The 19972-nt window shown below is 53.4% G+C and overlaps 1 protein-coding gene and 1 long non-coding RNA gene across 10 annotated transcripts in view, besides 5 other annotated features; one reads left to right on the plus strand and one right to left on the minus strand.

Annotated features, from left to right (window-relative positions):
- Window positions 158–1001: an enhancer, noted in NCBI's record as "H3K27ac-H3K4me1 hESC enhancer chr1:3566888-3567731 (GRCh37/hg19 assembly coordinates)". NCBI's record gives its function as "activates a minimal SCP1, AML or CMV promoter by ChIP-STARR-seq in naive H9 embryonic stem cells {active_cell/tissue: H9 hESC(naive)}" and the evidence as "EXISTENCE:reporter gene assay evidence [ECO:0000049][PMID:30033119]".
- Window positions 1961–2910: a silencer, noted in NCBI's record as "silent region_122". NCBI's record gives its function as "represses an Ori minimal core promoter by ATAC-STARR-seq in GM12878 lymphoblastoid cells {active_cell/tissue: GM12878}" and the evidence as "EXISTENCE:reporter gene assay evidence [ECO:0000049][PMID:35858748]".
- TP73 (tumor protein p73) overlaps window positions 2350–19972 on the plus strand; it is an 83686-nt gene continuing 66063 nt past the window's right edge. For 6 of the 7 annotated variants that reach the window (NM_005427.4, NM_001204184.2, NM_001204185.2 and 3 more), the window contains exon 1: window positions 2350–2475. The gene's annotated coding sequence lies outside the window, so the exon portion shown is untranslated. Of the gene's footprint in view, window positions 2476–18913; window positions 19002–19972 lie in introns of those variants that run through there. The other variant, XM_047429524.1, reaches the window with a different exon arrangement.
- Window positions 6803–6882: an enhancer, noted in NCBI's record as "active region_61". NCBI's record gives its function as "activates an Ori minimal core promoter by ATAC-STARR-seq in GM12878 lymphoblastoid cells {active_cell/tissue: GM12878}" and the evidence as "EXISTENCE:reporter gene assay evidence [ECO:0000049][PMID:35858748]".
- Window positions 6963–7062: an enhancer, noted in NCBI's record as "active region_62". NCBI's record gives its function as "activates an Ori minimal core promoter by ATAC-STARR-seq in GM12878 lymphoblastoid cells {active_cell/tissue: GM12878}" and the evidence as "EXISTENCE:reporter gene assay evidence [ECO:0000049][PMID:35858748]".
- TP73-AS3 (TP73 antisense RNA 3) lies at window positions 8477–18779 on the minus strand. 3 transcript variants are annotated; one of them, NR_187362.1, is made up of 3 exons: window positions 18459–18779; window positions 11987–12099; window positions 8477–9264 (listed from the first exon to the last, which is right to left on the minus strand). It is a non-coding gene; the product is annotated as a TP73 antisense RNA 3 (long non-coding RNA). The 3 variants fall into 3 exon arrangements; NR_187363.1 differs by lacking the exon at window positions 18459–18779 and adding an exon at window positions 14756–14804; NR_187364.1 differs by lacking the exon at window positions 18459–18779 and adding an exon at window positions 14198–14348.
- Window positions 16311–16560: an enhancer, noted in NCBI's record as "active region_63". NCBI's record gives its function as "activates an Ori minimal core promoter by ATAC-STARR-seq in GM12878 lymphoblastoid cells {active_cell/tissue: GM12878}" and the evidence as "EXISTENCE:reporter gene assay evidence [ECO:0000049][PMID:35858748]".

Raw genomic sequence — 19972 nt, forward strand, 5'->3', positions numbered from 1 at the left:
GTAGTTCTTGTGCCGCAGGGCTTTAAAGGAAACGCCCACGTTTCTTCCGACCAGGGATTTCCGACCCGAGAACCTTACCTCAAAGGCCGGGAGGCCTTTGAGCACCTCCAGCTAGGGCTGCTGATAAAAATGTAGAAAGCACAGTAAAATTTGAATTTCAGATTCACAACAAATCTAGTTATAAGTATGTTCCCAAATATTGCACGGGACATGCTAATACGGAAAAATTACTCGCTAGTCTGAAATTCAAATTTAATTGAGCGACCTGTGTGTCTGCGTGTGTGTACACATGCATATATATATATTTATATTTATATGTAAATGTATGTTTACATGTAAATATATGTTTACCTACAAATATATCTTTAATAAGTAATACGGTGTCTGTCGCACATATATTATATCGTGTATGTAATGTATAAGTATTTATTTCGTTTGCTTGGGGTTTTGTTTGCTTTTGCTGAGTCCGACCCCTCTACCTGCCGCCTGGCCCTTGCCTCACGCTCCAGTGCCACTGAGATCAAGGAGAGAACGAATTTGCCGCTGACTGGGCAGAGCGAGCGCGTGGATCGCGGCCACCGCCCGTTCATCACCCGCGCGCATCTGGGCTGGCACCGGGCGAAGAATCGTGCGGGTCTGGGACCTGGGGGCCCAGAGGGAGCGAGCTCCTGCGCGGGCGCTCGGTCCGCAGGTTTCGCAGGCTCAGGGGCGTGCCTCGTTCTCACCCCCACTCCGGACCCCGGTCCTCTTCCCTAGACAGCGGCCCCCTCCACCCCTGGCTCCCGCAGGCCGCTAGTAGTCCGCGCCAGGCCCCGCCGGCGCCTCTAGGGCCCCCCAGATCGCGCAGACCCTGACATCCCCGCCTGGCCCTGGGTTCTGGGAGCTGAGAGCCGGCCAGGGTCCTGCTCGTACCTCCGGGCGCCCAGCCTCGGGTCTGCTCCCCGCGGACGCCCCAACCTCCCCGGCCGAATGGATGGTGGTGCGCGCGCGTCCTACTCCGGCGGTGCCGGCCTTTTCTGTTGCCAAAACTAGACCCAAACCTCTGCATGGGATTCGTCTTTGGGTCCCCACCCCGTGCGCCCAGCAAACAGTGGGTGAGCCATGAAGATGTGCGAGTCAGCCGGACCCTCCCCGTCAGGCGCGGACCCGCTGCGGCCAGAGAACCCAGTCTGCGCCAGCCCGGCTCGCTCGCGAAGCCACGGGCTTCACTGACGCGACTTTCCAAGACGTGGGGGTCACCATGGGCAGAGGACATCGGTTCGGAGCCAGATCACGGGCCCCATAAGCATCAGACCATAAGCAGCGCCGCCACTGAGAGCCGCTCGGAACTCGCCCAGCATGTCGGGTCCCCTAGCCAGGGCCTGGTGTACGTGGTCGAGGGCCCTGGAAGCCCCGATGGCCTAGGAGGAGCAGGCGGGCGGGGCGGCGGGTGTCGCTGGCCGGTAGAGAGCTTCGGCCTGACCTAGCGCAGGTCTGGTGCGCGCAGAGAACAACTCCAAGCGCACCGACGCCCGCGAGCTCCTTCCAAACACCGAACGGGATCCAGAGCCCGAGCCCACAGGCGGCGGCCGGGGGAGGGAGCAGGGTGCTGGCCGCCGCCCGGGAGTGTTCGCGTCCTGGGTGACCCCTGGAAGGACGTGGGGCCCAAACTCCGGCTGGGGTTGGGAGAGCAGCCCCCAGAGGCTCTCCGCGGGATCCTCTGCCGGGCGGGACCGTGGCTCCACAGGAGAAGTGGGTGGCAAGCCCTGCTTGGCGGAAAGCAGCCGTTCCCCTCCTCCTGGGCCTGGGGCGGCGCCCCTCACCCCTGTTCCCCGCCCCTCACCCCTGTTCCCCGCCGGCCACATCCCCTGCCCCTTGGATTCCAAGCGCCCCGCGCGCCGAGGAGCCCAGCGCTAGTGGCGGCGGCCAGGAGAGACCCGGGTGTCAGGAAAGATGGGCCGTCTGGGGGACAGCAGGGAGTCCGGGGGAAACGCAGGCGTCGGGCACAGAGTCGGCACCGGCGTCCCCAGCTCTGCCGAAGATCGCGGTCGGGTCTGGCCCGCGGGAGGGGCCCTGGCGCCGGACCTGCTTCGGCCCTGCGTGGGCGGCCTCGCCGGGCTCTGCAGGAGCGACGCGCGCCAAAAGGCGGCGGGAAGGAGGCGGGGCAGAGCGCGCCCGGGACCCCGACTTGGACGCGGCCAGCTGGAGAGGCGGAGCGCCGGGAGGAGACCTTGGCCCCGCCGCGACTCGGTGGCCCGCGCTGCCTTCCCGCGCGCCGGGCTAAAAAGGCGCTAACGCCCGCGGCCGCCTACTCCCCGCGGCGCCTCCCCTCCCCGCGCCCATATAACCCGCCTAGGGGCCGGGCAGCCCGCCCTGCCTCCCCGCCCGCGCACCCGCCCGGAGGCTCGCGCGCCCGCGAAGGGGACGCAGCGAAACCGGGGCCCGCGCCAGGCCAGCCGGGACGGACGCCGATGCCCGGGGCTGCGACGGCTGCAGGTAGGAGGCCCAGGGCCGGGGGGCGGTTCGGCTCCGCGGGCGGGGGCTGGAGCGCAGCGCTGGGCAGGCACCTGGGCTCGCAGCTCCGAAGCTGGGAGGTGAGGGGAGAGCGATCGGGGACGAGCTGGGACAAGGCGACACAGGGGCTCCCTCGGAGTTGGATCGGCCCCTGGGACTTGGCGCTCGCGAGAGGCTGGAGCGGCCAGAGTCTAGCCTGCGAGGAGACGCGGGTCCTGCCCTCAGCGCCGGCCGCCTTTGGCGCCAAAGACAGCCCCGCAGGGGTTCCGGGAGGGCCCTCCTCCTGCTGTCCCCTCTCCACCCCGGGCTCCGAGGGCCGTTGGGAGGGTAACCCCGGGAAGAGGCCGGGGTGCGGGGCGCGGGTGCAGGTGGAAATCGCCAGCAAGCTCCTCCCCGCCCGCGCGCTCCCTCCGACCTGCAGGGCTGTGCCAATCCCGAGGCCTCAGCTTCCCTGAGGAGCCAGGGCCAGGCCCCCCTCTGGACAGGGAGAAGGATCTGGGCGGGGGCCTTGACCCATGGAGTTGGTTACTAAGCGGTTTCGATGGTTTCCCGAGGGACAGCTCCCTGTGGCTCTGAGTTTGTCTGTCGAGGGCTCCTGGCCTGTCTCCGGAGCGGTCCCAGGTAGAGAAAGCCCGTGAAGAAATGGCCCGGGCCGGCCTGGAGGGAGACACCTCACGCCCCCTTAGCTCCTGGGCCGCCTCCTCCTGCAGCCCCTGCCTTTCCCGGGGCTTGGACTTGGGGAGCGATGATTACCTTTGCTCAGCTTGTATTTTGGCCTGGACGCTAGGAGATAAGCCCATGTAGTATGCACACGTCTGCTACATAAACAGGGGACAGATAGACGATCTTCAACCAGCAAGGGTGCAGGGAAAAGCAATGCACCCCAAACTTCTGACCAGAGGTCATTTGCTTCCAAAGATGCTGCCATCTGTTTATTCACTGTCTGGACATTTGGAAATGGCTCAGGCTCATTAACACAATGCTTTGGTTTTTGTTGTTTTGTTTTTTGTTGCTGTCATTGCTGTTTATTTGTTCAGCCTTAGCTCTGGGGGAGGAGTAAACAAAGCGCGTGGCCTCTGGCACTTACTGAGCGCTGAGCCACCCCTCTTTGGATTTATTCGGGGAAAGATTAAAAAGCATTTCATTAAGAACAGGACACGGTGTTTGAAATGTTGCCATATATGAATGTATGCATTACGTATGTAGTTTTTAAAATAAGATAAAAAGTTGGCTGGGCACGGTAGCTCACGCCTGTCATCCCTCACAGCCTTTGGGAGGCCAAGGTGGGTGGATCACCTGAGGTCAGGAGTTCGAGACCAGCCTGGCCATCATGGTGAAACCCAGTCTCTACTTGAAATACAAAAATTAGCTGGGCATGGTGGCAGGCACCTGTACTCCCAGCTACTCGGGAGGCTGAGGCACAAGAATTGCTTGAACCTGGGATGGAGAGGTTGCAGCGAGCTGATATCATGCCACTGCACTCCAGCCTGGGCAACAGAGCAAGACTCTGTCTCAAAAAATAAGATGAAATAAGATAAAAGTTGGTGTCAGAGGCTGCAGTGTGGCAGCTGCCTATTGTCAATCAGAGGTAGCCTGGGGTGAACGGAAGGCGGACCTGAGCGGGGCTTGTCTATGCGCGGCGGCCACCAGAGAATGGCTCGGGATGTGAGCCCTGCCTTGCAGTCCTTCTCGTGAAAGCTACAGCGAACAGTAGCTGTCTCCAAATCCCGAAGGCCAGTCGCATGGAGAAGCTGGTCTGGCACAGTGGTTAATGGGGTAGTATGGAAGTCAGAATGCTGGGGTTCAAATCTCCTCTTCCCCATTTACTCCAGCAAGTCACTTAACCACTTGGAGCCTCAGGTTACCCATCTGCAGAGTCGGGTAATAGTAGTTCCTGCCTCAGAGGCTTGGAGAACAGTCAGTGAGGTGCCGTCCGAAGGGCTTGGGAGAGTGCCTGGCACCCACTCAGTGTCCTCACACATGATGGCTTCGGGTCCCAGGTGCTGTTCCAGAGCTGGGAGAGCCAGGAGCCCTGGGGAGAGACCCGGCTCCTTAGTATCTGGTAGGTATCTCCAGGGCAGGAGGGATGGCAGTGAGGCAGGCATCTGCCCAAGGCGTGGGTGGAAGCTGATGGCATCTGTCAGAAGTATGCACTGGGGCAAGGATGCCTGGTTTAGTATTTATTTATAGGGCATGCCCCACCCAGGTCCAAGAATGGATTGATAACACTGAGCACGTGTGAAAGGCACGGCTAAAGTGGAGAGAAGAGAAGAGGCTGAGGGCCGAGAGAGGAGCCGCACACCCACTCCAGAACCCGGACGAGGCCCTGCCCTTGCCCAGCGGCGGTATTAACCCTGAGATTCCGAGCACACCAAAGTGACATCGCGTACACGGTGAACCCTGTGTTTGCAAAAAGTCAGAAAAAGTCTTCAAAACATCCTTTAAGGCCAGGCGCCGTGGCCCACGCCTGTAATCTCAGCCCTTTGGGAGGCCGAGGTGGGTGGATCACTTGAGATCAGGAGTTCAAGACCAGCCTGGGCAAAATGGTGAAATCTTGTCCCCACCAAAAATACAAAAATTAGCCGGGGGTGGTGTCTGGTGCCTGTAGTCTCAGCTACTCAGGAGGCTGAGGCAGGAGAATCGCTTGAACTTGGGAGGCAGAGGTTGCAGTGAGCCGAGATCACCCCACTGCACTCCAGCCCGGGCAACAGAGCGAGACTCTGTCTCAAAAAAACACGCAAAAAATACTTTTGGTGTGTGTTTCATGTAACGAGCTGCCATTTTGCGGCTTGCCTTTGTTTTCCAGTGTGGGGAGGGCTAAGGCAACCTTTTAAGATATCTGTATGTTATTTCCTCGTGATTTTGCTTTAAAAGCAAAAAAGAAAAAAGCTGAGATGAGTTACTAAATGACAATAACGCCTACTTTTCTTTTGAATTCCCGTGTTATTTGTATCTGAATGTGGTGAAAGTTTTCTAAATGTAATGTTTTATCACCAGTAAGTAGGCTGAGTGATCACTTACTCCTACCAGTATTTAATACTTCCATGTTCTGCCCAGATTCCTTTAACAAATACACAAAACACACTTGTAGCTGGCAACATCCACTCGTGTATAATGAAAACACACAATGGCTTTCTTAGAAGTTTGCCTTCTTAAGTGGGTTACACAGGATGCCTCGAAAATCCTTCTCTGTGGGTCGTGCAGAAGGTATTTTATTCTAAAAATTCCCTCTACTCAGCCGGGCGCAGTGGCTCACGCCTGTAATCCCAGCATTTTGGGAGGCTGAGGCGGGTGGATCACGAGGTCAGGAGATCAAGACCATCCTGGCTAACACGGTGAAACCCCGTCTCTACTAAAAATACAAAAAATTAGTCGGGCGTGGTGCGGGCACCTGTAGTCCCAGCTACCCAGGAGGCTGAGGCAGGAGAATGGCGTGAACCCGGAAGGCGGAGCTTGCAGTGAGCTGAGATCACGCACTACACTCCAGCCTGGGCGACAGAGCGAGACTACGTCTCAAAAAAAAAAAAAAAAAATCCCTCTGCTCATTGGCATTTGAGTGTAAGACAGCTTATACCAAAGTGGGCTCAGACAGACATATGCACATGTTTACAGACTTTCTGCCTGCCCCCTGGCAGTCCACTCTGTGCTCAGTATTTCTTTGCAGGCTAAACACTCGCTCATCCAAAGTGCTTTCTTTTCCTGGACAAGTTGCACATCACAGACCCAAAGAAGAAAAAGATAATCCAGCCCAACTCTTGTTTTTTAATGTTTCCTGTAATAACTCACATTTAGCCCATGGTGGCTGTGAGCTGGTACTTGGCTAAAAAGTTTACATTTTTTTCCCTGTAATCCCCACAATAGCCCGTTGAAGTAGATACTATAATTATGCCCATTTACAGATGAGGAAACTGAGGCTTCAACTGGCTATTCTACTTGCACAGGGTCACACAGCTGCAAAGTACGGGAGTGGGGACTCCAGCTATGACCACGAAGCTGGGACTGGGGCTGCCAAACCATCCTTTGCCTGGGTCTGCCGTTGGCTCAGACACGGCCCCCAGACACCTAGGACCGTGGAACATTCAGGCCGGAAGGGCCCTTCCAGAACATCTAAGCCAGGGGTAGAGAGTCCAGGGTGCTGTGAGCCTGGATGGGGAAAAATGGCACCTTGTATTAACCTCAAAGCAAATTTCAGCATTTCCTCTAGTTTTGAATGTAGGCAGCAAACTACAGTCATAGCAGTACCTGTGACCTCACCAGTGGGAACCACTGATATTTTCATGGTGTCCGGTAATAGCTGCAGCATCTTAAAAAGTGGTTTGTGCTTGTCGCTCCGTTGCAATTATGGCGGTGATTAGATCTGCTCTCAGGCTTACGACTTAATGTATGAACAAAGAAGCGCACATATGATCACCTCCCAGTTTTGCTTTTTAAATATTAGGGTCACTTTGTAAGTTTTCTCAGGCTGCTGTTACAAATGACCACAAATTAAGTGGCTGGAAACAATAGAGAGTGTTGTCTCACGGTTGTGGAGGCAGGAATCTGAAGCCAGGTGTGGGCAGGGTCGGGTTCCCTCGGAGGCTCTGAGAGGGGGCTCGCCTCCTGTCTCCCTCCTAGGATCTGGGGGCTGCCGGCCATCCTGTGGTTCCCAGGCATGCAGATGCACCACCCAGTCTCTGCCACCATCTTGCCATGGCCTTCTCCTCTGTGTCCCTGTGTGTCTCTCCTTTTTTGTCCCTTAGATGGACACCTGTCCTTGGATTTCGGGCCCACCTGGAAAATCCAGAATGATCTTATCTTGAGACCCTTACCTAAGTGGCATCTGCAAAGACCCTGATTCCAAATAACATCCCATTCTGAGGCTCGTTCCCAGAGGCTGCATCCAACCCACTAGAGTGGCTATGTTTCAGTAACTCGTGATCCTGTGTATTTTGCTTCATGTATTTAAAACATTCTCCCGGACAAGGCGTCTGAGATTCCCCAGGCTGCCAGAGGGGCCATGGCGCAAACGGGGAAGAAACCTGGTCTAAGCCACGCCCCTCTTTTCAGGACGAGGATCTTGGAACCCGGACACTGAAGGTCGGGGTTGGGCACAGCCGGGGATGGGCAGCCCCCCTCTCCCCCAGCACCTCCCGCCTGGCGCCTCCTCCACAGCCCCTGCATCCTGGAAAACAGACTGTTCCACACACTCCAGCAGCTCCTCTACCTGGGGACTGCTTGGGCCGCATAGCCCCCAGTTAGGGACAGAAACCAGAGGTATTGAACAAGAAGCCCCACCGGGAGAGGCGAGACCCGGGCCCCAGCCCTGGACCTGGCCGTGGGTGCTACAGAAGGTCGGGGGACATCGGTCTGCGCGGAAGGGTCTGGAGAGGCACCTCTCAGGGAGTTGGACAGAGAGGAGACGCCGTCCCAGTGGTGGCCTCCAGTGAGGCCTGGAGAGACCAGGTGGCAGGAAGGGCCCTGCTGGGGCCAGAGCAAGGGCACGGAAGGCAGGTCTCATGGAGCAGGGACCGTGGAGGGGACATGGGGGACACATTAGGGATGGACAGTGGCCGGAAGATTCCGTGGGCCTTGGAGATTAAATCGGGTTCCCCAAAGAGCAAGCTGTGGAGAGGGGAAGGGAAAGTTGCCTCCCTCTTCCCTACGGGGTTCTTGTCAATAAACGATTGACAAAAGACAGACTCACAAGAGACAACAGTTTTAAGGCTGTGCCCCCGCCCGGAAGTGCCATAAAAACAGGAGACTCAGCAGTAACCAGATGGGAGCGGTGCAGATGTCCGTCCTCTGTGACAGAAAGGAAAGGGGGCCTGGGCTTCTGGGGAGCGGTAGAGACAAATGAGGAGAGGGTGAGGGAGGAAACGTCTGGGCATAAAGGCTGCCTCGTGGTGCAGCTATCAGTCTCATGGTGAGAAAATGCGTCTTGGCGCGCGGCTCTCTTCCTGGCACACAGACCATTACTAATGAAAATGTCCTTTATAGATGTCAATTTTCTTTAGAAAAGAGAGTTTTTTACTTTATTTTAGGGAGCTGAAGAGCTTTTTTTCTGTTGGCTGGTTCTCAGTTGCTTTTAGCTCAAAGTAATCAACATGTCAACATGGCATATTTTGGGGTGACGTATTCTGGTCTCCTACAGTCATATTTTGGGGTGACGTATTCTGGTCTCCTACAGTCATATTTTGGGGTGACGTATTCTAGTCTCCTACAGTCATATTTAGGGGTGGCGTATTCTGGTCTCCTACAGTCATATTTTGGGGTGGCGTATTCTGGTCTCCTACAGTCATATTTTGGGGTGGCGTATTCTGGTCTCCTACAGTCATATTTTGGGGTGACGTATTCTGGTCTCCTATAGTCATATTTAGGGGTGGCGTATTCTGGTCTCCTACAGTCATACTTTGGGGTGATGTGTCCTGAGCCCCATTGTTTCCTAGTCTGAAACTTCCCCAAGAAGCTCCACGGTACAGAAACTGGGTGGGTGTGTTGTCCCATAATGCTTTGAAGAGGCATTTCTATGGAAACAAAAGAAAAAAAAAAAAAGCTAATCATTGGAGCTGACTAAAAACCAGTTTCTGAGCCTGGGGGCCGTGGCGGGGCAGGTTTGTAGATGTTGGGCTCCGAGCATCTTCTGCGGTTTGGTCTCTGGCGATGTCTGGGCGGCCCACGCAGCAACAGGCGTGAGGGTCCCTCGCACCTGGGCTTCGTGGTAATCTCGCTGATGAGTATTTCAAGTCGTCCAGCCTCAGTTTGCAGGATTTCTGGGCAAAGGGCAGTTTTGTTCTTCGTGATTCCAATAAGAACGGTGGGAGAAAATTGAAAGTGTTAGTTTGGGAGTTGCAGCCAGATACTGGAGGAAACTAGAAACATCAGGAACCCGTCCAGTTTGTAGACATCAATAGATAACAAAACCCCAAAGACGTTAAACAGGACAAGAATCTAATATGGGGCGCACAATATGGCTTTCTACTGAAATATATGTTCTTTCTACATCACCCCTCTTTCTACTAAAAATAATCTCAGTAAGATTATTATTATTATTATTATTTTTGAGACAGAGTTCCACTCCGTCGCTCAAGGCTAGAGTGTAGTGGCATCATCTCGACTCACTGCAAACTCTGCCTCCCGGGTTCAAGTGATTCTCCTGCCTCAGCCTCCTGGAGTTACAGGCATGCACCACCACTAATTTTTGTATTATTATTACTTTTTTTTAGTAGAGACAGGGTTTTGCCATGTTGGCCAGGCTGGTCTTGAACTCCTGACCTCACAGGATCCACCCACTTCGGCCTCCCAAAGTGCTAGGATTACAGACGTGAGCCACTGTGCCCAGCCTAGTCAGATTAACTTGTTTGTAAAGTAAGTCTAGCCTCATTAAAATTGGCCTGATTATTTGCACAAGTGCAGCAAGAATAGTAAGTGGCCAGCTAGGCTTTCTTTAGGTCAGCTTTGCTGGAACTTTTAATAAATCTCAGGTTAGGCTTTCAAAAGCCTCTTGAGGCTAAGAAGTCAAGCCAAGGACTTGATATCAGACTTCACCTGCAATACCTATAGATTTGGGTGGATTCCTCTTTCTCAAGGTTCCCAACGTATTCTTGAGAATTACTGCCAAAAAATCACAGTCTTTCCTCAACCCGTGAGGCTGCAGAAGCCCTTTAATCCAGGTACAAGGGCAATTTTGTTTTCCTCCAACGGGTTTCATTGGCTCCATAAAGTCAACCTTAGTTCCTTAAAGCTACTCACATCTGATTTTATGCACATCACTCTCAAATATGATATTCCGGTCAAACACTTGGTGAGCTAACCAACATTTCCAGTTGTTTCCTATTACAAGGCAGCAGATTCATCTTGAACTTAAGCAAATAACTCTATGGCCGTAAAAATAAAAATGCTAATAGTTTCTAAATTCTGGAGAGATCAGGTAGGGAGAAAAGTCATCATTTCAATTTTGCTTATAAAAGTGTAATGTACCAGAATGCTGTAAGTTATAAATAGTTTCTTCATTTACATTCTGGAAATTCTTGCCATCCAGTGGTGTGATCTTAATGTATCAGAAACCTGTACTGGTCAAAGTCTTCCCCATGAAATCTTCTCGAAGACACAACATTTTAGAATTATAGTTGCTTGCAAAAGCTTTCGGGAAAGCATCAGAGCCAAACAGTTAACTGTGTATGACAGAAAGGCTTAAAATGGCCTTGGCTAAAGATGTGATGACATCATTACAATGTAACTGATGAGGAAGTTTGGTTATTCCTGTGGTGTATACTTTCACATAATAACTAGAATTACAACTAATATAGAATGTATCAGATTTCTAAGAATTTCATATAATTTCTGGAACTCTTATATGAATATATATCCATGCAAATATAACTCACCCAGAGAAGGTTAATCATCACTTCATATTTTACAGTGCTTCCATGCAAATTTAGTTGATCAAATAAGCCCAATTTATTTAATATCTTTTTATTTTATCTAAAACAATTTTCCCTTTAACATTGGCAAAATAATCTATGTTTTTATAAGGAGAGAAAATAAATCCTTTTGAGATATTCCAGGGGCCAATCTAGGAAATCCCAAACGTTAATTCAGGGTCAAAAAGACTTAATTTAGAGTGTGTGATTTTGGAAAGTTGTCAAAATGTCAAAAGGTTGAAAGCACTTGATTAAATAGAATCCCAGATCATTATGAAATAATACTTAATTCTCATTTAATCAAAGTAACAATGAAATATTCAAAGAGAAATGCAGAAAGTTAGATAGTTTAAAATACTCTTAGATCTGGCCAGGCATGGTGGGTCATGCCTGTAATTCCAGCACTTTGAGAGGCTGACATGAGCGGATCACTAGAGCCCAGGAGTTCGAGACCAGCCTGGGCAACATGGCAAAACCCCGTCTCTACCAAAAATACAAAAATTAGCCAGGCATGGTGGCACATGCCTGTAATCTCAGCTACTCGGGAAGCTGAGATAGGAGGATCCCTTGAACCCAGGGAGATTCATGCCACAGTGAGCTGAGATCGCACCACTGTACTCCAGCCTGAGCAACAAACTGTATATACACACACATGTATTTTGTGTATATATATATATATATAATATGTATTACATATATACATACACTATATATAATATGTATTATATATATACATACACTATATATAATATATGTATTATATATATACACGCTATATATATAATATATGTATTATATATATACACACAATATATATTTTTTATTTTATTTTTTATTTTTTATTTTTTTTAATTAGCTGGGTGTGGTGGTGCCCACCTGTCTCCCAGCTACTCGGGAGGCTGAGGTGGCAGGATCCCTTGAAGCCCAGGAGTTGAGGCTGCGATGAACTATGATGGTGCCACTGCACTCTAGCCTGGGTGACAGAGTGAGACCCTGTCTCAAAAAAAAAAAGAACTAGTTCACACCCATGTTTCCTCCTGCTGCCCCAAATTGCCACTCTCCTGGAGCAGCCCCTGAAGGTGGAGACCAGGCACCTGCTGGAGCAGGAACTCTTCCTTCACCGGCTTCTGTTGGGGCCCCAGGATCCTGCAGCTGTGGCATCCACAGGGAGTAAGGCCAGCCACGGAGGTCCTTTCATGTCACCAAGCTGCAGGGGAGGAAAAGTGACATCAGACAGATCAACAGGAGAAAACCCATTTTAATGATATGTCCACGAATGGGAGTCCCACACGGAGATGAAACTGGGGGAAGGGGCCAGATGGCGGAGGCGTCTGCGTCATCCTCAGCTGCAGGAAGATACAGGACTGTGGGGCTGCTGCAGGCTGAACCAGCTATAGCAGGGGAGTTGACTGGTGAATGAAGGTGGTTTCGTCACGCGGACATGCGTCTCTCAGGCGATCAGAGTTACCTGGAGCCGCTCTCCTCCCGGCATAGAGACCTTTACGAATGGAAATGTCTTTCATTTCTCTCCCAGACAGGCAGCTGGGCAGAGCCACTCCTGTGTCTGCAGTTACTCGAAATAATGGATATACCCAAGGCATGTTTGGGGTGGCACATTCTGCCCCCTCAAGCCATGTTTTGGGGTGGGGTGGCGTGTCCTGAGCCCCAACCCAGGTGTCAGGGCTATGGAGGGGACATTGCAAGGGGGCCTAGAGGGGCCTCTATGGGCCTTGGAGATGGAATCAGCTCCCCACCAGGCCCCAGGACAGACCTGGCTGGGGAGCGCAGGGAGGGGTCCCCAGTGTGAGGACAGCATGGGGCTGCCTCTTCCAGCAGCTCCGAGCGCTCTCAGAGAAAAACGAAATTCTCTTTTATAAGAGAAACTTGTCTCTGGTCCCATGTGTTGCCCTTTGGGCACTGGCATGAGTAATCTGAGGGCGGCGCTTTCCTCACTGCAGTGGCATCATACAGATGAGGGCTTTGCTGATCATTATCTGGAAACAGTGATCACTGTCCCATTCACAGATGGGGAGGCTGAAGCCTGGGAGATCAATTCATGCCACCAAGATCAGCTGCAGGCCGGGCCACCCATGCCTGAGGGGAGAAGGGGCCTCTCTTCTTCACGAGGCTGGTGGCTGCGGCACCTACAAAGACAGGTTAACAAGAGGACCCTCTGCCTATCACGAGCCTGGTGGCTGCCGTACCAGTAATGAAAGACAAGTTAACAAGAGGGCCGTGCAGGCTTATTTACGAGAAGTTCCATGTGACACAGGAGCCTTGAGAATGGAACACCCATCGAACCGGGGAACTCTGCATATTTTCCTCCTGGGTTTGTGGGGTGTGGACAGCACGGAGCGTGATGAAAGGATACAGGCGGCTGGGCGTGGTGGCTCACGCCTGTAATCCCAGCACTTTGGGAGGCTGAGTCGGGCGGATCACTAGGTCAGGAGATCGAGACTATACTGGCTCACACGGTGAAACCCCATCTCTACTAAAAAATACAAAAAATTAGCCAGGCGTGGTGGCGGGCGCCTGTAGTCCCAGCTACTCGGGAGGCTGAGGCAGGAGAATGGCGTGAACCAGGAAGGTGGAGCTTGCAGTGAGCCAAGATCGTGCAACAATGCGAGACTCCATCTCAAAAAAAAAAAAAAAGAAAGAAAGAAAGGATACAGACATCCTGAACCGGGGGCTGGGGCCAGGTCTGAAGGCTCTGATCTTCCTTTCTTCTGGGTCTAGGGCACATGAGGGTCTGTGACCTAATTCAGAGGAAGGCCAGAGAACTCTTTTATGGCCTGCCTCAGGGTGACAGGGAGCAGGAGAGAGCATACCTGCTTTCCCTGGCTTCTCAGATGCCACCGTGCCAGGTTTTGGGGTAGTGGTATGTCTTGAGCCCAATCAGTACCCTGGGGGTCGTGGCCGGCCCCCCTCCCTCCATGCCACAGGCTCTCTGGAGAGGCCACTGCTGTATCCCCACTGTGAGCTCGATCTGAGCTGCCTATGGGACCACACCTGAGAACCCCCAAGGGTGGCACTGGCAGACTTGAGGTGCCCAAGTGAGGCTGGTGCAGCCCCTCTGCCCTGCCAGTCTGGGCACGGGCCCCTGGGCATCGCGACTCCTACCTTCCTACCAGCCCAGATGCAGGGCCTGAGCCGGCAGGGCTTCCACCCAGCCCAGGGTGTGTCCCCCTACCAGAGGCGCTGCATTGGATAGGAAGGACCCACCTGTTTCCCTGCCCAGTACCAGCTGGCAGGCCCCCCGTGGCTCAGGGTGCCTGTGAGGAGGGGTGGGGGCTCTAATTGCTCACCTGCTGCTCTGAGGTGTCAGGCAGGGTTGGGGGTGGCACCTGGGGAAGGCTGGGCTGAGGGGGCAGGCTGCCCCTCCTGCAGGAGAGGTGCAGTATTTCACTGGGTCCTTTGGAAAGGGCAGGGAAGCTCCTGCTCGCCCGTACTGCACCATTTCCTGTGATCTTAGCAATGACTTCCTGGCTCCATTTTCTCCACCAGTCCGAATACATGAGCCAGACCCGCAGCTTTCTCTTCCACAGCCTCCTGGCCTCCGGGTCCACCTGGGTGGTGCCCACCCGCCAGACTGGGGCCTGGTGGTTGTAGGGGACGGGGAGCAGCCTTGCTTCAGTGTGGGTCATTCCTGACTGTGAGATGGTTGGGGGGCAGGGGTTGTAGAGTCTGTGGGAGGCCTCGGCTGGGCCTCAGAGAGGGGTATCTCTTCTGCAGAAAACCCAGCCACCCTTACCAGATGCGGTCAGGCTACAAAGGGAAGATGTGCTCCCTCTTTAGAGGCAGGTGATTCCTGTGAATCCGATGACCGAGATAAGGTGCACGATTCAGTGGGCAAGGCAACTCACCATCCTCTCTTTATGGTCCTCGCAATTTGCACCATGCACAATGCAGGGTGAAGTCAGCCCCCAAATTACAGAGGAAAGACTCTGCGGTCTTTGTCAGTTAAACAGGAGATGCAAACTCCAAGCTAGTTAATGAGCTGTGATCGGCCACGCTCACGATTCAGTGCAGGTCTCTCCTTCCTGCTATCACAGTCTTTGCCGGCTGCATCATGACTACCAACCAGTCCCCTCATAATTACAAGAGTCTCCTGTCATGTTTTCTTCTGGAGCGAGGCATGCTCCAACTTGCTTCTGGGTTCTTAATTTTTGATCAGGGACGGCTCCTTGACTAATTATTTGGCAGTAATGAGGGAGGACAGATCGAGTTGTGAAAGTCCCCCCCAAGCTTTTAGAAGGAAGCTGCAAATTAAAAAATGAGGTATTGGTAAACAGGATGCTAATTGGATTAATATGAAAATGATGAATTCTGATAAAAATAGCAAAATACACCGTTGTAAGATTGAGGCCAGTATAACTCCAAGAATTCATTGTCTAATGTTCAGCTGGTCAGTCTGGTCTTTGAAAGTATTAGAATAACAGAAAGAGTCTACTCTTGACGATGAAGTATACGGTTAGTAATTTATGCAAAACAGAACTTTAAAACCGGAAGGACTTGATATGAGTGGGGTGCATGGAAATCATTCGTATTTTGAAGTTTCATAACTCTGACCCCTAGGTCCTTTGGTTTGTCTCTCTTTTCTTTTTTTTTTTTTTTTAGACAATTTCTCTCTCTGTCACCCAGGCTGGAGTGCAGTGGCATGATCTTGGCTCACTGAAACCTCCACCTCCCAGGTTCAAGCGATTCTCCTGCCTCAGCCTCCTGAGTGGCTGGGATTACAGGCATGAACCACCGTGCCCGGCCTTTTTTTTTTTTTTTTTTTTTAAGAGACAGAATCACCAGGCAAGGTGGCTCACACCTGTAATCCCAGCACTTTGGGAGGCCAAGGCAGGTGGATCACCAGGTCAGGAGTTTGAGACCAACCTGGCCAACATACAGTGAAACCCCATCTCTACTAAAAATACAAAAATTAGCTGGGTATAGTAATTCCAGCTACTTGGGAGGCTGAGGCAGGAGAATCGCTTTTGAAGCCAGGAGGCGGAGTTTGTGGTGAGCTGAGATCGCACCATTGTACTCCAGCCTGGGCAACAAGAGCAAAACTCTGTCTCAAAAAAAAAAAAAAAAAAAAAAAAAAAGAGAGAGAGAGAGAGAGAATCTCACTCTGCAGCCTAGGCTGGTGTGCAGTGGTGCAGTCACAGCTGACCACAGCCTCCAACTGCTGGGCTCAGGCCATCCTCTTGCCTGTGTCCTGAGTAGCTGTGACCATAGACACACACCACCACATCCAGTTAATTTAGTTTTGTTGTTTCTTGCTTTTAGAGACAGGGTCTTGCTATGTATCCCACACTAATGAATGTAAAATCTTAAAATGGTGCCTGGTGCAGAGTAAGCTGTGTGTTGGTGGGGTGTAATTATGGGTCATATTGACAGTTTCACTTCTGCGGCATGCCCTCAGGAACTCACTGATGCACACAGAGGGACCTGCTGGCAAATACTGAAGAGCTGTGGGGAGAAAGGAAGGGGTCTGACAGTGAAGGTGGGTGCGTGGGCGGGGGGCTTTTAATGGTCCCTCTGCTGGCTCCCTCCCCACCACCTCCTGCCCACCTCCCTGGCCTTGGCTGCAGGCTAGGGTGCCCTTTGACCTCAAAGAGGCCTGTCCTGTGTGTCTCACTGAGCAGGAACAAACCGTCCCAGAAGCCCTTCAGCTCGGAAGTGAGTAAGCATTGGCGGTGGGGATGGTGCTCTGAGCAGACGCGACTCAGTGCCATGCGGGCGTCTCTCCCAGGGCGGCTTTCAGACTGACCCCCAAACAGAGGGCTCAGAAAAGATGTTTTTCAATGAGGGACATTTATGGTTGGCAAAAAAAAGTGGCTCCCCAAAGGTCTTCACGTCCCAATCCCCAGAACCCGTGTCTATGTTATTTCCCATGGCAAAGGGGACCGTGATTCAGCTATTTTGAGATGGGGAGGCCATCTGGCAGGATCCAGGTGGGTCCAGTGTCATCAGGGGGCCCCACAAGAGGGGTGAGAGAGGGAGCTGATGATGGAGGCAGAGGTTGGAGGGATGCATTTCAGAGATGGAGGAAAGTGTCACATGCCAAGGAATATGCCTGCGGAAGCAGGAGAGGACGGGGAGGTAGGGATTGTCCCAGGGCCTCCAGAACCAAGAGAAGACAGGGGAGTAGGGATTCTCCCAGGGCCCCCCAAAGACAGGAAGAGGGGGAAATGTATTCTCCCGGGGTCTCCAGAAGCAGCCAGCCCTGCCCGCAGTTTGGCTTTAGCTCCCTGGTACCCATCTCGGACTCTGACCTACAGAACTGTAAGAGAGTAAATTTATCTCATTCTGTGCTGCTCATTGTGTGGTCATTGGTTACGGCAGCCACAGAAAACAGACAGTGCGCACATCCGCATGGTCCCCTCTCCAGCTCTTGCCTGATAGGCATAAACGAGGGCAGCTGGGCGCGGTGGCTCACGCTTGCAATCCCAGCACTTTGGGAGGCCGAGGCGGGTGGATCATGAGGTCAGAAGATTGAAACTATCCTGGCCCACATGGTGAAACCCCGTTTCTACTAAAAATACAAAAAATTAGCCAGGCGTGGTGGCACGTGCCTGTAGTCCCAGCTATTCAGGAGGCTGAGGCATGAGAATCGCTTGAACCTGGGAGGCAAAGGTTGCAGTGAGCCAAGATGGAGCCACTGCACTCCAGCCTGGGCGACAGAGAGAGATTCTGTCTCAAAAAAAAAAAAAAAGAAAGAAAAAAAGTAAAAAAGAAAAAAAGGAAATAAACAAGGGCTTGCCCTGTAGTTCACATCTGGACCACCCAGCTTAAAATAGGGCAGGGGAGTTCAGGAATAGCTTTGCAACCCTTGTGTTACGGTGCACAGGTGTGCAAAAATTCTCCTTGAACTCCCCCTTCAGTGTCCCCCCAGGGCTCATGGCCACTGTCACTCTGTGCTAGTTGCTCTTCAGACCAGGGAACAGACTTGGCCATGGCTATGGCCAGGGTCCAGCTGCTATTGCTCCTCCTGTCACCCACCCACCTTTTGTCTCCAACAAGGATGTTGAGAGGAGCCAGGCACCAGCCTCCCTGGGTTCAGGTCTTTCCTCTCCCCTCACTTTCCTATGAACTAGGGGTGGGGGAGGAGGAGTGCCTGCCAGGAGGTCACTGCAGCCAAGGAACCCAAATTGGTGTGCTTGAGAATGACCCATGGATACACTTTCCAAAGAGTCACCCGGCTGCGATGAGGGGCCATCTCCCCTCCTGGAGCCAACAGCCATGAGTAGCTGTCACACACATCCGTGCAGCACCTAGACACACATCCGTGCTGTCCACTCCGTGCTGCTGCAATTGTGGGGGAGGAAGGTGGCACAGTGGCAGCGACACACACTTCCCTCTCCAAAATTGGGGCGGGGCTCCTCAAAATCCTCTGACCAGCATTAAAGATTCAGAATTTGATATTATGGCTGCATATAATGTTGAATTATCTGAACTTGCTGCACGTGTGTGTGTGTGTGTGTGTGTGTGTGTGTGTATTGTTGGTAGGACCAAAACGGTTAATTATCAGCAATTTCATGGTTTGACCTAATATTTTAAAAGAGAGGTTCTTACCTGCTGGAAGCATGTACTGGTGTATTACGGATGAGACGGTCTCATAGGTGGAATTTGCTGTGAAATGCCCCAGGAAACAAAAAGCCAGAGGTCAGAGTGATGAGAGCTGGGGACGGGTGGATGGGTTCCTGGGCCGTTCCCTGTAGTGCTGAGTGTGCTTGGAAGTGTCCACAATGAGGAGTAGAAACGAGTACAAAGCTGGGTGGAGACAGCCCTGTCCTGGCTGCCCTGAGCTCGGCCCTGTCAGTCGCCTTGAGGAGGGTTGGGGGGAGCAGGGATGCAGGGTGGCGCGTGCATGCCAGGTGGCAGGCGGCAGGTGCTGGCTCCAGGCCCGTCTCCAGCCCCAGGGCTCCAGGCCATGCTCCGCCCCCAGCTGCCCTGCAGCTCCAGGCCGGCCACGCTGCCGCCTAGTTTCGCAACTCCAATGTCATCACCTAGGTGACAGGGACGCTGCTGCCACCGCCCGCCTGCGGGAGCCAGGAGCCAGCCGAGGGCCACTTCCACCTGGCCCCACCGACCCTCCGGGGCCCAGGCTTAGCCAAGGTAGGCTTGGGCTTGGCTCGCCCTCCTCTCGGCCTGAGTCGGGGGGAGTCTCCTTGCCACCGTGGGTGCAGTGGCTCCGGGGGCCCACCCTGGGGTGCAGAGAGCCCCTCTACGGCCTCCCAGGAGGCGGCTTGGAAATGCAGTACTGTTCAGGCCAGGGTGGGGAGGCCTTGCCCACAGTTCTCCTGATGGGACAAGCCACAGCTCTGGGGAGCCATCTGCCCCAAGTGGCACATCAGGGCTCCTCGTGTGACCCTAGGATCGGGGGCAGAAGTGGCTCTGGTACCGCCACCTCCACCCCTTGGACCCACCAGGAGCTCTTTCCACTTCCTGCCAAGGAGGCGCAGAGTGACTGCCCCAGCCTGGCACGTCCGGGGGCTTCCCGGCTGGGGGCCGCCATCCTCAGCCTCACACAGCTGATCCAGAACCTCCCAGTTCTCCCCAGCCCCCTCACTCTTTTGTGGCCCCGGAGCCTCTCCCGGCAACAGCAAGCCATGCCCCGGCCTCCCCGGCACTCACGCAGCTACTCCCAAGCCTGACCATGACGTGGACGGCAGGAAGGGGCTGGGCATGTCCTGTTCCTTCTGCCTGGGTCCTGCTTCCAGGGCTGGACTCCCAGGCTGGGGAATCCTCAGGGACCCATCAAACTGGGGGACAGGGGAGGGGCTTGTGGGGATTTGCTGTGAGGAGGGCAGAGTGTGTACGTGGCAGTGCCTGCGGACACATGTGTGCGCATATGTGAATAGGTGTGTCCATGTGCATGTATGTGCAAGTGTGTTGCTAGAGGTGAGAGGGTGGGTAGGGAAACTGAGTGACCAGCTCCTCCCTGAAGCCTTGGGGGAATGTCCGAGGGGCCAGGGCCTCTGGATCCTGTTCCCTTGGCTCTTTGCAAAGTCTCCAGCCTGGCCTCCTGGATGGGCATGTGGCTCGGGGGGCGAGACCATGGGCTCTTCCTGGCTTGCTGTGTCGCT

The sequence above is a fragment of the Homo sapiens genome, chromosome 1 (genome assembly GCF_000001405.40).
Source record: "Homo sapiens chromosome 1, GRCh38.p14 Primary Assembly".
NCBI classification, from domain to species: domain Eukaryota; kingdom Metazoa; phylum Chordata; class Mammalia; order Primates; family Hominidae; genus Homo; species Homo sapiens.